This window comes from Homo sapiens, chromosome 8 (assembly GCF_000001405.40).
Source record: "Homo sapiens chromosome 8, GRCh38.p14 Primary Assembly".
Lineage (NCBI taxonomy): Eukaryota > Metazoa > Chordata > Mammalia > Primates > Hominidae > Homo > Homo sapiens.
Window position 1 is genome coordinate 98,019,028 of NC_000008.11, and position 16,624 is coordinate 98,035,651.

Below are 16,624 nucleotides of genomic sequence, written 5' to 3' on the forward strand. Positions count from 1 at the left end.
AAATATAATAGAAGACATATATATAATATATATATGTCTTCTATGGTCTGTTCTATCTTCTATTTATATATATCATAGAAGATATATATATATACACACACATATATATGTGTGTGATGTATATATGTATACTATGGTCTGTTTCTATCTTCTATTAATATATCATCTCCACAGGAAAAATGGACATACACACACACACACACAAACACACATATATTGTGAGGGAGGAAAAGATTGGTTGATTTTAAGGGATTGGCTCACACAATTGTCAGGGGCTGGCAAGTTCTAAATCTGTAGGGCAGCCTGGAGACCCAGGCAAGAGCTGATGCTGCAGCCCAAGTCTGAAGGCAGTCTGGATGCAGAATTCCCTTTTCCTCTGAGGACCTCAGTCTTTTTCTCTTTAGGCCTTCAAGTGATTGGATGAGGCCCATCTACATTATAGAGGGTGATCTGATCTGCTTCACTCAAAGTCTACTGATTAAATGTTAATTGCATCTAAAAATTAGCTCACAGCATCATTTAGACTGGTGTTTGACCAAACAACTGGGCACTATAGCCTAGCCAAAGTGACACATCAAATTAACCTTCACAGTACCCAAAGGAACAGAGGGATGTCATACGAGCTCAGTGAGGTGGGCATTAGGAGAGTACAGAGCAGGGATTTTTCCCCACCATGAGATTCTGAGCTGGTAATTCCCTATTTTGGGGGGAGGGGTGGTTGACAAAGTCTACTTGCTTTTGTGACACTTTGCCCCAGTGGGCAAAATAACCCTTTTTCAATTAAGTCAAAATAAGTTCAGTTGCTTTGAGGTTGATTTTTGGGAATTTCCTCACAGACTCCTTTGAGATAACTGGGGATATTCCACAAGCCAACAAGGCTGGGTTGGAGGGATCTCAATACCTCGCTTCTTCCTCCAGGAAGAGGGACTCCTACCTTTAGCAAGAAGTTCTGTGTGAATGACTGACACCTAGGATGCCTGTGGTACCCTGGCCTAACTCTGCAGGGATTCCCCTCACAACTGCAGGTCCAGCTTCACACTGCAGTGGCCCTCTTGTGGAGATTTTGTCTATAATTCTGCCCATTGTGCCTGTCTGCACTGCTTGTTCATGCTTTTCTTTTTGTTTGTTTTTGTTTTGAGACAGGGTCTCACTCTGTCACCCAGGCTGGAGTGCAGTGGCACTATCTTAGCTCACTGTAATCTCCACCTCCTGGGCTCAAGCGATCTTCCCACCTCAGCCTCCTGAGTAGCTGGGACTACAAGCGTGCACCACCACACCCGGTTAATTTTTGTATTTTTTGTAGAGACATGGTTTCACCATGTTGCCCAGGCTGGTCTTGAACACCTGAGCTCAAGAAATCTGCCTGCCTCGGCCTCCCAAAGTGTTGGGATTACAGGTGTGAACCACCATGCCCAGCCCTCATGCTTTTCTTTCTGCAAACATCTGCACACTCACACACACACTGTTTATTCATTCAACACATTTATTGCTCAGTAAATTGAACACAAGGTACAACTTCTACCTCTGGAATTTGATCCTAAATCAGATTTCACCATTCCTGCTTCCTAGAGGGATGTGTTCTCACTGATTCCAATTTTGTGTGAAGCCTCTCCTTTTAAGGGGTAATGACAGGAAAGAGCCATAGGCTCTCATGCTATGGAGGAGCACTCGGGAGACAGCTGTGTCATCAACCTGCCAGATGACCGTGGGCAGCAGTGAAGCTCTCTGAGGATCTAATTCTTCATTGATACCTTGAGAATAATTATCCCTGTCTTCCTTGTCTCACAGGGTGTTGTGAGGGTTAAAGGGCTGTAAGTACTTCGAAGAGTTTAAATTACCTCACACATGAGAAATGTTCATTAGACAATCTGAACTGGAGTGTTTGGGATGTCTGTGGCAAAAGAAATTAGAAGCTAAAGCACATCTAATAATAGGATAGTAAGTCAAGGACACCTAATCACCCATCGTACCATTCAGACTCATGGGAGCTAGAGCTTTCTGAGAGGAGCTTTTTCCCCATCCTGAGTATGAGACTGCAAAAGACATTATGAAGGAGGTTTGAAGAGAGGTGTATTTTCTTTAAAAGAGATTACTTCCACAATCTCTACTCACATGACTATTCAATTCACCTCATTTCTACACTGATGGGATTGTTCAACTCCCTACATTTTCCTCAGGGAAGGATGTCTGCAAATCAACCCACCATGGCTGCGAACACATTTGTGTTAATAATGGGAATTCCTACATCTGCAAATGCTCAGAGGGATTTGTTCTAGCTGAGGACGGAAGACGGTGCAAGAGTAAGTGATCTGAACTTGGCTCTCTGCTTTAATTTTGTTTTGGAGCAACTGCTTTTTGGAGTATTTTCAGGCAACAAATCCCTCACCTCTGCTTCTCCCATAAATATAAATGCATATGCACAAATACAGAATGGGGAAGAGAGGGCTTAACTGCAGCACCTGTGAAAACACTTTCGGTTTTAATTGACAGTAAATTCATTATCAGCCAAGAGGCTAGGGTGATCGTAGGCTGAACAGCAATGTCTGCATGAGGGAGGTGGAGAGAGCTGTGCTCTGCTCTGTGCTGGAGAATTACATTCAGTTCTGGGCATGGTACTTTAGGAAAAAAGAGATGGATCAACAGTTTAAACATAAAAAAAAAAAAAACACAAAAGAGCAAAAGGAGTCTTGAGAGAATTATTTTTTAATCTGAGAGTAGAGAAGATCTTTCTAAACATGACATGAAATTTAAAAGCCATAAAAGAAAAACAAAGGAAAATATCTAGTAAGAGAGTAAAGCTGTGATACCTTTTTTTAACCTATTAGTTAACCTATTAGTTACCAGAGATCAAAAAGTTTGATTCCTTATGTTGGCAAAGGTATATTGTAGTAGGGAATTATAAATGGATCAGTGAGTGTCTGAATTGGTATAACCTTTCAGAGGGCAATTTGGCAATGTTATCAATCCAGTTCTAGAAGTTTATCTTACAGATACGTGCATGTTTACAAAGCCATGTATACAAGGATATTTTATACAGCACTATTTGTAGCAGCAAAAAACTGGAAACAAGCTAAATGATCACCCATGAGCCTGGCTGAATAAATTAAGGCACATCTATGTAATAAAACATGATGCAGCTGTTAAAACAACAAGCAGCTCTGGATGTATCCCCAAGATATTTTAAGAGAAAAAAGCATGGTGCTGAATGTTTTTTATAGTATGTTACCATCGATATATTTTGTAAAACACTCTAACATACAGTCTCTCTTTCTCTATATATGTGTGTGTGTGTGTACCATTATATACATATCTAATGTGTATACCCTTATGCACACACACACACACACACACATACACACACCCTTTTTCTAATATTTAAGTTTTGTTCCAAATGCATGTATTATTTTTTAGAAAAAAATAAGATAAACACGATTTAGAAAGAATTAAGCAGCATGATCTTGTGAGGAAGTTCAGTATTATGTTAAGCAGAAAAAAATTAGGAAACTGGGGATCTTTGTAGAAAAAAATTTTGAGGTACCAAATACCAATGTGACTGTCATCTCACTCATGATTTGTATGATACCCCCACCCCACCCCACCCTACCCTGGAAAGAAAGGACACTTGGAGAAGCTACAGCTTAGCACGAGGACAAAGAAGCTTTCTACCAGGGAAGCTGCATGCCTAATTAGTTCAGAGCATAAGCTTCAGCTCAGACAGATCTGGATTTGAACCCTGATTCATACTACCCGTGTGACCTTGGTCAAATTATTTAATCTCGGCCGGGCGCTATGGCTAACGCCTGTAATCCCAGCACTTTGGGAGGCCAAGACGGGCAGATCACCTGAGATCAGGAGTTCGAGACCAGCCTGGCCAACATGACAAAACTCTGTCTCTACTAAAAATATAAAAATTAGCCAGGCGTGGTGGCACGCATCTATAATCCCAGCTACTCAAGAGGCTGAGGCAGGAGAATTGCTTGAACCTGGGAGGCGGAGGTTGCAGTGAGCTGAGATTGCTCCACTGCTCTCTAGCCTGGGCAACAGAGGAAGACTCCGTCTCAAAATAAATAAATAAATAAAATAAATAAAATACAAAAATTAGCCGGGTGTGGTGGCATGCACCTATAATCCCAGCTACTTGAGAGGCTGAGGCCAGGAGATGGAAGTTGCAGTGGGCCGAGATCGTGCCACTGCACTCCAGCCAGGGTGACAGAGCAAGGCTCTGTCTCAAAAAAACAAATAAACAAACAAAAATTATATAAACTCTTTGAGTCCCAGTTTCCCCATCTATAAAATAAGGATAATAACTCACAAAGCCATCACAAGGAATACATTAGATCGTGTATCCAAAGGTGCTGAACAGCCGGGTGTTGTGGCTCACACCTGTAATCCCAGCACCTTGGGAAGCTGTGGTGGGAGGATTGCTTGAGCTCAGGAGTTCAAGACCAGCCTGGGCAACATGGTGAAACCCTGTCTCTACAAAAATTAGAAAAATTAGCTGGTTGTGGTGGTACGTGGCTGTGGTCCCAGCTACTAGGGAGGCTGAGGTGGGAGGATCACCTGAGTGCAGGAGGTTGAGGCTACAGTGAGTTGTGATTGTGCCACTTCACTCTAGCCTGGGTGACACAGCAAGACCTTGTCTCAAAAAAAATTTTTTTAATAAAAAATAAATAAAGGTGTTGAGCCCAGTGCTCACACACACTAAGTGCTCAAAAAATGATCACTATTACGATTCACAATAGTAAAGACATGGAATCAACCCAAAATGCCCATCAATGATAGACTGGATAAAGAAAATGTGATACATATACACCATGGAATACTATGCGGCCATAAAAAGAAATGAGGTCATGTCCTTTGCAGGGACATGGATGGAACTGGAAGCCATTATCCTCAGCAAACTAACACAGAAACAGAAAACCAAACACTGCATGTTCTCAGTTATAAGTGGGAGCTGAACAATGAGAACACATGGACACAGGGAGGGGAACAACACACACCGGGGCCTGTTGGGGGTAGTCGGGAGTGAGAACATCAAGATAAAAAGCTAATGCATGTGGGGCTTAATACCTAAGTGATGGGCTGATAGGTGCGGCAAACCACCATGGCACACATTTGCCTATGTAACAAACCTGCACGTCCTGCAGATGTATCCTAGAGCTTAAAATAAAATTAAATTTAAAAAACAACAGACAGGCCAGGTGTGGTGGCTCATGCCTTTAATCCCGGCACCTTGAGAGGCCGAAGCGGGCGGATCACCTGAGGTCAGGAGTTCAAGACCAGCCTGGCCAACATGGAGAAACCCTGTCTCTACTAAAAATACAAAAAGTGTCCAGGTATGGTAGCGTGTGCCTGTGGCTCTAGCTACTTGGGAGGCTGAGACAGGAGAATCACTTGAACCCAGGAGGTGGAGGCAGCAGTGAGCCAAGATCGCACCACTGCACTCCAGCCTGGGCGAGAGAGCGAGATGCCATCTCAAACAACAACAACAACAACAACAAACAAACAAAATGATCACTATTGTAATCATCAACAGCAGAGGTGTCCAAAGATGGGGCTTTCGTGGTAAGGTGACAAATTCCTCATCAGGAGAGGCATTGAGGCCCAGGCCGAATGGTCACTGGGTGAGGATGCTGTAAAGAGGATGTAAGCAACAGCAGGGCTGGAGTAGATGATCTTTAAAGGGCTTATCCATGCCTGAAGTTCTAGAACTTTCTGAAAATTACGTTCTGAAAGCAAGTCACAGCTCCATTCCAGTCTTATCAACTTAACTACCAAAAAGAAAATGCCCAAGAAAAGTGGGAATTAACCTCTGGCAAAAAAATAGTCTAATAAGTGGGGCTGTCCTTCCTGTGTCTGAAAGCAAATACCTGGGCCCTGCTCTCCCTGATGCTTTTCCACTCTACTTTGTTTTGTGTTTCCTGGAGAAGCCTTCTGGATGCCATTCTATGTGTGGGGGTTGCAAGTGCTAGTTTTGTTCTGTAAGAAAAATGTGTACAGAAAGGAGGAGAAAACAGACTCACTGCTGGAAAATTATTTCAGTATTTTTGAAATCTGCTGAAGAGCCACATGCATGCTGCCTGAGTCTTTTTTTGGTTCACTCAGGAACAGACTATGAATGTAAATGAAGCTTTGAGTTGGCCTTTTCCTCTTTCACTAATAAAAGATCGATAGGTTGAGTGATGAGGAAAAGCACTTAATGGAGAAACAGAAGAACCCAATCCCCCAACATGTGCGCACTCACGCACACACACACACACACACCACACACACTATGACGTTAAGCATTTTATACTGGCCAGGCATAGAAATGGTTTTGCATGTGTGTGTCTCTACATGCTTATATTGTTGTGCCTCACTTTTAAAGATTAGACAGCTGCTTGATATATAAAACAGAATGTTTATCACAGATTGTGGATTGTTTGAAATGAGATCATCTGGCCCAGCACGGTGGCTCACGCCTGTAATCCCAACATTTTGGAGGCCGAGGTGGGTGGATCACAAGGTCAGGAGTTCGAAATCAGCTTGGCCAAGATGGTGAAACCCCGTCTCTACTAAAAATACAAAAATTAGCCAGGCATGGTGGCATGTGCCTGTAATCCCAGCTACTTGGGAGGCTGAGGCAGGAGAATCGCTTGAACCTGGGAGGCAGAAGTTGCAGTAAGCCAAGATCGCGCCATTGTACTCCAGCCTGGGCGACACAGCAAGACTCTGTCTCAAAAAAGAAGAAGAAATGAGATAATCCATTTTGGATCTGTCCATTTTTCTTTTGCAGTCCTAAATAACAAAAAGCCTCTCCACACCCAAATTGCTTAACATAAAGCTTTTATTTCTGCTTACTATCGACCATCTATTAATAGTTGCCTGAGACCAGGTACAGTGGCTCATGCCTGTAATCCCAGCACTTTGGAAGGCCAAGGCAGGTGAATCGCCTGAGGTCAGGAGTTCAAGACCAGCCTAGCCAACATGGCAAAACCCCGTCTCTACTAAAAATACAAAAAACTAGCCAGGCATGGTAGCGTGTGCCTGTAATCCCGGCTACTTGGGAGGTTGAGGCAGGAGAATCACTTGAACCCAGGAAGTGGAGGTTGCAGTGAGCCAAGATCACACCATTGCACTTCAGCCTGGGTAACAGAGCAAGACTCAATCTCAAAAAAAAAAAAAAAAAAAAAATGCCTGAAAAGCTTCCATGTAAAGAATTTATGGTGATAACTTTTTTTTTAATTTTGTTTTTTTTTTTTTTACGGAGAGATGCAGGGTCTTGCTCTGTCACCCAGACTGAAGTGCAGCGGCACAATCATAGCTTACTGCAACCTGTAATTCTTGGGCTCCGGTAATCTTTCTGCCTCAGCCTCCCAAGTAGCTAGGGCTACAGGCATGCACTACCATGCCCAGCTAATTTTTCTTTTTTTAAGAAAGACAGTCACTCTGTTACCCAGGGTGTTCTTGAACTCCTGTGCTCAAGCCATCCTCCTGCCTCAGCCTCCCAATGCACTGGGGATTATAGGCGTGAGCCACTGCACTAAGGCTAATTATTTTGTAAGCTTTAATAGGTCAGTAGGGTACTTACAGGTGTGCTACCCAATGAACATCACCTCATTCACTTAGTCTGTCACCACACATTTACTGAACACTTTTTTTGTGCCAAGTATTGGGGGGTGGGGCACAAAAATGAATGAAACACAGTCCCTGCTGAGGAGGAACTCACAGACTGGAGGAGGAAACACATCATTAAATAATTATTGTACAATGTGGAACACTATATAGAGTACATTAGATTGTATGCAGCTTGGTGTTAGGGATTGTGTCTTGGTCACTATTGCAATCCTGCTATGCCCATGGCCTTGTACAAAGCAGGTCCTCAATAAATTTTTGGTTGAATAAATTAGTAGTGTTTGGGGTATATAGAAAGCAATACAAGCTGAGTTACTAGGAAGGCTCCCCAGCAGAGGTGATGGCTGAGCTGAAGAAATCTCTTTCTCCATTGACTGTCAGAATGCCAGCACTAGGGTGATGTCACCCTCCTAAAGTTCTAGGAGTCTTTTGGGTATTGTTAGACCCTTCAGTGTACTCTACACCCAGCTCCTCCCAGACCTGTCAGTGTTCCAGGGTACAATGTAGACTTGGTTTCCTAGACAATTGTATATCTGCCGTTTTGCTTGTGAAAAATACTATTTTTATCAATATGACAAGCCAACCATAAAAGTATACGTGAAAATTATTGTTGCTTGTGGCCCTCCCAACAACTCATCTATCCTGTGTATTATCTAAAGAACAAAACTGGTTCCCCAAAGTGGTTATGCCTCCAATTGAAGCATCATTTTATTCTACTCTTGTGCATAAATGATTTTTTATTCAACTATGTCAACTTTCCTTCTGTTCATATAGAATGCACTGAAGGCCCAATTGACCTGGTCTTTGTGATCGATGGATCCAAGAGTCTTGGAGAAGAGAATTTTGAGGTCGTGAAGCAGTTTGTCACTGGAATTATAGATTCCTTGACAATTTCCCCCAAAGCCGCTCGAGTGGGGCTGCTCCAGTATTCCACACAGGTCCACACAGAGTTCACTCTGAGAAACTTCAACTCAGCCAAAGACATGAAAAAAGCCGTGGCCCACATGAAATACATGGGAAAGGGCTCTATGACTGGGCTGGCCCTGAAACACATGTTTGAGAGAAGTTTTACCCAAGGAGAAGGGGCCAGGCCCCTTTCCACAAGGGTGCCCAGAGCAGCCATTGTGTTCACCGACGGACGGGCTCAGGATGACGTCTCCGAGTGGGCCAGTAAAGCCAAGGCCAATGGTAATATGGGGTGGAGGTGCGGTTTACACCACTCAAGGTTCAGGTTTCTTAAACTCACTCAGTGGTCTCAGCTGGCCATAAGGGTAAGCTTCTTTGAGTGTACAGAAAGGCCTCCTGGCAACTGCCATTATACATCTTTACTACCCTGCCACCTAGAAGCCTTAACAGGACCCCACAGGAGTTAAATAAAGTGCTCAGGAAGGAGTCTGGCTACTAGAAGGGTAGGCTAAGCTGACCACAGGCGGGTATCCTCTCACTGTGATTTACTAGCCAGTGTGTGATCTCCAGTGTAAGAATCGCCTAGATATACACAATAGTTCCGAAACACTGGTCGGCTTGCTCTAGAATCAACTGAAGACTTTGTTAAATTGTTTCTGATGGGAACTTTTACTGTGTATATTTATTCTTGTATTTTTTAACCAATACTTCAAGCGAGCATTCTGAAAATGCAATAGCCCCTAGGGTGGATAATACTCTTGTGTTTCCAGGAGGCAAAGTTAGCTTTTCCGAAAATCAAATGATGGAACAGATTATGACTCTAAGCTCTTGTTGCTCAGTAAAGCCCAGCCTCTTCTCTGAGGTTTTCCTGACCTGAGGGTTACTTCAGTTGTACAGATGTGAAGCGTGCTCGAGGAGTATGACCCTTGGCTAAAGGAAACCCAAAAGGTAGGATAATTGGTAGAGACAGTTTATGGTGAAGTTTCTAGATTCCTTGAGGGAGATAAGAAAACTTGAGGTTGTGAACTAGTTTGCTTGAAAACTGCTTTTTTTTTTTGAGATGGAGGCTTGCTCTGTCACCGAGGCTGGAGTGCAGTGGCGCGATGTCAGCTCACTGCAAGCTCCGCCTCCCAGGTTCACGCTATTCTCCTGCCTCGGCCTCCTGAGTATTGGGTACTACAGGCGCCCGCCACCACGCCCAGCTAATTTTTTTGTATTTTTAGTGGAGATGGGGTTTCACCGTGTTAGCCAGGATGGTCTCGATCTCCTGACCTCATGATCCACCCACCTCAGCCTCCCAAAGTGCTAGGATTATAGGCGTGAGCCACTGTGCCCAGCCGAAAACTGCCTTCTTAAAGTACTTGTTGAGGACACACTGCTTTAGCAAGTCCTGTAAGAGGAAATAAGGTATGCACAGATCAAGGCCTCATCTAAGACTTTATGGACCCAGTGCCTAGATCAGGCCTGGCACACAGTAGATGTGTGACAACTACTTGCTGAGTGAATGAAGAAAGAAGTGAGAGTACTGGCAGTCCCATTGGTGAACTCCATTCCTCCTCACAGAAAGGCTGGTTCACATCGACATTCACTCGCTGTCTTTGTGAAGGAGGTCATTTTATTGATACTGCGTACCTTCCTCTTTTTCTAGCCCAAGAGTGGTAGCCACAAAGTGTCCTGCCCTGAATCATCTGGATAGATTGTAAAACTGGCTGTTCACACTAGCCTAGATTGCTAGAGCTCATGTCAAACTCATAGGCCCCCTAGTCTGCATTCTTAAAAAGAATTAATTAGGGGAAGCATCTTAGTCTCCAGAGACAGTGGTTAGCCCTTTCATCTCACTGAGACTAATCTACCTTACCCTTTGCTCCACTCAAATGTCTCTACACATCACACAAAGACAGGTGGTAGCAGAAACTGATGTTTACTTGATTCTTGAATCAACAAGATTTATATGAGGTGACATCCTCTTATGAATTTAACTAGTCTTATGTATAGCAAACAGAATCTTAAAATAGTAGTTATCCTTTTTAGGAAGTCGTGCATAAAATCACTGGGCTCCCGGACAAATATGCTGAACTTGGTTAGTGACCTTACACAGACTCAGAACAAGGCATCACAACTCTTGCCCCTTGTCTTGAAGAGCCATTTTTAAGTACATTTTTAAGAATCTAGTCTAATAAATTAGCTAGAATAAGTTATCAGTGCTGAAAAATGTTTGGACTCCAGCAGAACATATTCTTATTGTGTTTTACTTTCAAATGAAGAGTATATAGGGGAAGGGAGTCTAAGGATTGAGTAAGAAAAGCTTTTAAAGCAAACGCATATCCCTGTTGAAATTTAAGGCTGATCTTGGGTTTGTTCTTTTTCCTGACTTTAGGGGTTTCCAATGGTCTGTAGATTATCCTTTTCAGCTTAGCACTTCCTCACAAAGTTGTGTCATCTTAGCAGAAGTGGGCAAAAAGCAGCTTCACTTGGCCTCAGGTCACTTACGTTTCCTACCCTGTAGCTTTGAGTAGAAACTAGGTTATTAGGTCATAAATTGACTTGATTCTTAGAATTCTTCCAGAAGAGATTCCCATTTAGCAAGCCATAAAATAGGGCTCATTTCTATGAATCCAGAAGGCTAATTCAGGGGGAAGTTGCAGATTTGTTAAATGGCCCAGCCCAGGGCTGAGCAACAGGTTAGTAGTTTAGTTCCCCAGCGTCTCCCAGATGCCTCACTTCTCTCTTGGATCCCTCCCTTTTGTTCATAGGACCAAAATAAAAATGGTAGAAAAATAAAAAGGAAGGTTGGCATGGACTCTTCAAATCATACCACTTAACATCTAACTGGCTTTGGGTGCAGTACACACAACTTCCAGCCCCTGGGAACACAACTCTAACTAACTTGCTCTTAATTTTTCCTGCACCCTAGGTATCACTATGTATGCTGTTGGGGTAGGAAAAGCCATTGAGGAGGAACTACAAGAGATTGCCTCTGAGCCCACAAACAAGCATCTCTTCTATGCCGAAGACTTCAGCACAATGGATGAGATAAGTGAAAAACTCAAGAAAGGCATCTGTGAAGGTACTATAGCTTACGCCGAAGACCTTAGCAAACAAGGCAGCATGAACTCCTTTTTTTTTGTTTTTTGAGATGGAGTCTCACTCTGTCATCCAGGCTGGAGTGCAGTGGCACAATCTCAGCTCACTACAACCTCCGCCTCCTGGGTTCAAGTGATTCTCATGCTTCAGCCTCCCGAGAAGCTGGGATTACAGGCACCCACCACCACACCCAGCTAATTTTTGTATTTTTAGTAGAGATGAGGTTTCACCATGTTGGCCAGGCTGGTCTCGAACTCCTGACCTCAAGTGATCCAGCCACCACAGCCTCCCAAAGTGCTGGGATTACAGGCGTGAGCCACCGTGTCCGGCCAGCATGAACCTTTAGTGATAAATTCTCAACCAAAAAAAAGTGTCTCCTTCATGGGCAGGGCCAGCAATGCCTAGAAACAGTACAAAAAGAAGGGCTGGGCACCATGGTTCCCACCTGTAACCCAACCATTTTGGGAGGCTGCGGTGGGAGGATTGCTCGAGCCCAGGAGTTCAAGACCAGTTTAGGCAACAAAGTGAAACCCTGTCTCTGAAAAAAAATTTAACAATTAGCTAGGCATGATGGCACACACCTGTAGTCTCAGCTACTTGGGAGACTGAGCGGGGAGGATCGTTTGAGCCCTGGAGGTCACGGCTTCAGTGAGCCATGATTGCGCCACTGCACTCCAACCTGGGTGACAAAGCAAGACCCTGTCTCAAAAAAAGAAAAAAAAAAGGTGGGGGAAACAGGGGAGGTGGGAAAGAAAAAAGTAATAGCTACCATTGTTTGCGCCCTTGCTCTGTGCCAAGCAGTATAATAAGTGTTTTGACACACCAGCATGCTTCATCCTCACAAACACCCTAGAGAAATGATCATTTAACTAAAAATCAATCATTATATAAATCAGGAGAGCTGAAGTGCAATTTCAGAATATACCTATAATTGGAGTGGAAAGGGGCGTACCTAGTTCTTCCAAGCCCACTGTTAAAATTAATGCCTTTCTGCATGGACTACTTGTTTACAGAATATCAGACTGCCCTTTAGACTTCAGATTTTGTTATGCATGCTTTTCTCCAGTTTACTAACTGTGCCAGATATGCTTACAGATAGCAGTTCTGCCTATTTTTCCTTGTACTCATGTCCCCGGCTCACCAGTTAGATCCCAGTCTAAGTGCTGTGTCTTACCCCTCTAGGGAAAGAACTCTTGAGATGAGGGGTAACAGGGAGGGAAGGCCTTTCAGATTTCTGAGTAGAGAATGTTTTGCCTCTTGATTGTTTCATGCAAGTTAAAATGCCTCAAGTGGAGCTGCTGCCACTGCAACTAAAATCCCTCAACAACTTCACCTTTTTTTTCTGCCCTACTTTCTAGACATGACATTTTTGGGAGCATTCTTAAGATGTACTTAGGGGGTCCAAGCTTCTCTTACGAGAGAGAATTGCCCTAGAGTGGTCATAAGTATCATGGTAACCAACTGCTTTTTTGAATCTTTGGTGTTACCAAACAAAACTAAAAAACCTTAGGTTATGGCAGGTAGGTAAGGAGGTGGTCTGGGACCAGCTTCCTGAAGAACACACACATGCCTGTGGACAACCATCACTTCTTTTGGTCATCTTTTTCTGCTCAGCTCTAGAAGACTCCGATGGAAGACAGGACTCTCCAGCAGGGGAACTGCCAAAAACGGTCCAACAGCCAACAGGTACAGTTTTTAAGGCAGTGTTTTTAGAAATTTTGGTGGAGGGAACCATGGTTTCCCTCCAGATAAAAGCTGTAAAGAAGTGAATGTAAGTATGTTCAAATTATGATAATGAAGGCCTTTTTTCCCTCAAAAAGATAGTTAACATTTACTCTTACATTAAGCCATATTTGGTAACTAGCATCGTTTCAGGTGACAGTGTTTTTTTGTTTTTGTTTTTGTTGTTGTTGTTTTTTTGAGACAGTTTCATTCTGTTGCCCAGGCTGGAGTGCAGTGGTACGATTTCAGCTCACTGCAACCTCCACCTCCTGGGCTCAAGTGATTCTCCTGCCCCAGCCTCCCGAGTAGCTGGAATTACAGGCACCCACCACCATGCCCAGCTAATTTTTGTATTTTTAGTAGAGACGGGGTTTTACCATGTTGGCCAGGCTGGTCTTGAACTCCTGACCTCAAGCGATCCACCCACCTTGGCCTCCCAAAGTGCTGGGATTACAGACATGAGCCACTGTGCCCGGCTGTTTTTGTTTTGTTTTTTGTTGTTGTTGTTTTTTGTTTTTTTAATAAAGATGTTTACTCCACTGAAGATAACAGTCTTTTTGCTTCAGTATGTCCCAAAGTAAAGCTCTGTACCAAGTGCTAGGAATACCAAGTACCTTACTCTGCTGATGGCTGTTTTATAACCAAAAGCGTTAAGCAGGTTTGATTGCAGTTTTCTTTCTCTTTACAGAATCTGAGCCAGTCACCATAAATATCCAAGACCTACTTTCCTGTTCTAATTTTGCAGTGCAACACAGATATCTGTTTGAAGAAGACAATCTTTTACGGTCTACACAAAAGCTTTCCCATTCAACAAAACCTTCAGGTAATTCCAAGTAAAATATTACTATAAGATAACTTGATCTCAGCCTTTCGGCTTGCCAACAACCTTAGCTTTAAGGAGGAAAGGAAAGAAGGAAGTAGGAAATAGTATAGAGGAAAAGAGAAGAAAGAATTTAAGTAAAATGAGAACTAAAACATAAACTAAAAGAAACTCAAGTAGTGTTCCTCAGTAATCCACAGTAAGGGCCACTTCCAGTGTTGGAAGCATATACAGTGCTTTCCTGGTATTTACTGGATCTGGCTGCATGGAAAAAGTGGAACATGTCTTTCATTATGGTTTCCTCCATATGCTGATTCATTCCTATTATTATGCGTCTGGGAAGTCTGGTGGATTCTAGAGGTGAACACTTTCCATCTGCTTTCTCAGGAAGCCCTTTGGAAGAAAAACACGATCAATGCAAATGTGAAAACCTTATAATGTTCCAGAACCTTGCAAACGAAGAAGTAAGAAAATTAACACAGCGCTATATCCTTTTCTTGCATTATGCTTCTGTATGGAATGCAAAGAATATTATCAAAACTTCACACACTCTATGTAGGTTTTATCAACTGAAGTAAATCCCACGAAGTCACAAAGAACAGTGATCTCCAGGAAAGGCTTTTTGCTTTAAAAAGCAGCCTCACAGGTGTTTGAGAGGCAAGGGCAAGCCAAGCTTATTAGCAGCAGTCAAGCACTTAGTTGCCATCGGCTGTTCTCGGGGGCTTAGCAATAAGGCCTGTCAGTCAGCATACAAAGTAAGGAAAAAAGAGACACTGGCCTAACTCCGTCTCTGCTAGGAAGGTGTGTAGGACATGATGAGGTCTGAAGTGCATCAAAGGTACGGTAAGTATAGACAAAGAATGTTGTAGAATGAAGAGGTTTCAAACTCAGTACTCCAAACTTTTCCTTTAGCCCCAAGGAACACCACAGCCACATATAGATTCAGTGTGTTTAGTTTCTGGAGGACAGGAGTGGTTTTTTCTTTTTTTTCCCTTGGCAGCAGAGATCTTCTCTATCGGCACTCTAAAAAATGAAACACTCCACCAAGGGAACAGCAGGATCCAATGATTCATTTAAACAATATTAAATAAAAGGAATGCTTGGGGATAATAAAGAAAAGAGGATTCGGTGCTTTTACATATTGAACACCCTGCCAAGTGCTCTAAACTTAAAATTACAGTAAGCGTACTAAAGCTGGCTGATATCTCAAGTGCATCAACTAGTCTATAGGGAAATGGCTTAATTCTGAACTATCTCTGTGCCAATGGGCTTATGTAATAAGGAACAACAGCATAGGGCAATTCCATTTCTGAAAGCTGGAAATACGCTCCCTTAAGTAAAATGAAATAATCTTTCTGAGTGGTTAATTGACGAATATGGGCTCTCATTCTGCCCTCAAGAGGGCAGATAGAGGGTACTGAGGAGCTTACAGGGAAGACCAATACCTATTCTAATGCCCTTTTCTTCTCGCTTGCCTGTCCCACCCCAAAGTTCTACTCACAAGAGACTAAAGAAGACATATTTTTACATAGGTCAGAATTCCTCAAAACCGTGGCCTTATGTAGCATCATGGTGAAAACTCCGTATCGCCCTTTGCTTCTGACTTCATATCTTACTTTCCAAGGCCGAATTCTTTCATTGTCTTCTCTTCACCAGATTCCCAACATTATCAATTCTGGCTCCTAGAAGTGTGCTATGGCAAACTAATTTGCAAGCATTAAGGGTGGAAGTGGAATCACAATTAAAAAAAAAAAAAAAAAGACTGCAGCTGGGTGCTGTGGCTCACACCTGTAATCCTAGCACTTTGGGAGGCCGAGGTGGCCTTGCTTGAGCTTAGGAGTTCGAGATCAGCCTGGGCAACATACTGAGGCCTTGTCTCTTAAAAAATAATAAATAAAATAAGGCCGGGCACGGTGGCTCACGTCTGTAATCCCAGCACTTTGGGAGGCCGAGGCAGGCAGATCACCTGAGGTGGGGAGTTCGAGACCAGCCTGGCCAACATGGAGAAACCCCACCTCTACTAAAAATACAAAATTAGCTGGGCGTGGTGGCGCATGCCTGTAATCCCAGCTACTCGGGAGGCTGAGGCAGGAGAATCGCTTGAACCCAGGAGGCGGAGGTTGCAGTGAGCCAAGATCGCGCCATTGCACTCCAACCTGGGCAACAAGAGCGAAACTCTGTCTCAAAAAAAGAGAAAAAAAACAAAAATAAATAAAATTAAAATTAAAAAGACAAATTCACACTGAGCCATCTGGCTTTGCTGATGTTAAAAAAAAAAAAACCCAAAATATTTGTCTTGACAGAATATGTTAAATGAGTTCTACAAATTTACAAGTCAGGGTTTTAACATACTTGACAGAAATGGGAAAAAAAACCAAAACCTTTTAGATTTCAGAAGCCAAAATTTTACGTGGATAAATCAAGTTATATTTAAATGTAAATAAAAATAGACAATTCTTCATCTTCCTTAATTTGAGA

The 16,624-nt window shown here is 42.9% G+C and overlaps 1 protein-coding gene across 4 annotated transcripts in view, besides 1 other annotated feature; it reads left to right on the top strand.

Moving 5' to 3' along the window:
- MATN2 (matrilin 2) overlaps nucleotides 1-16,624 on the top strand; it is a 167,661-nt gene that overhangs the window by 149,964 nt on the left and 1,073 nt on the right. For 2 of the 4 annotated variants that reach the window (NM_002380.5, NM_001317748.2), the window contains 6 exons: nucleotides 2,178-2,300; nucleotides 8,389-8,802; nucleotides 11,435-11,587; nucleotides 13,219-13,290; nucleotides 14,015-14,149; nucleotides 14,534-14,632. In NM_002380.5, coding sequence (NP_002371.3) covers nucleotides 2,178-2,300; nucleotides 8,389-8,802; nucleotides 11,435-11,587; nucleotides 13,219-13,290; nucleotides 14,015-14,149; nucleotides 14,534-14,632 — 996 coding nt within the window. The remainder of the gene's footprint in view (nucleotides 1-2,177; nucleotides 2,301-8,388; nucleotides 8,803-11,434; nucleotides 11,588-13,218; nucleotides 13,291-14,014; nucleotides 14,150-14,533; nucleotides 14,633-16,624) is intronic. The other 2 variants (NM_030583.4, XM_005250920.3) reach the window with 2 other exon arrangements.
- Nucleotides 13,514-14,713: an enhancer, noted in NCBI's record as "BRD4-independent group 4 enhancer chr8:99044769-99045968 (GRCh37/hg19 assembly coordinates)". NCBI's record gives its function as "activates an origin of replication core promoter dependent on BRD2, P300/CBP, MED14 and CDK7 cofactors, and independent of BRD4, by STARR-seq in HCT116 cells {active_cell/tissue: HCT116}" and the evidence as "EXISTENCE:reporter gene assay evidence [ECO:0000049][PMID:35650434]".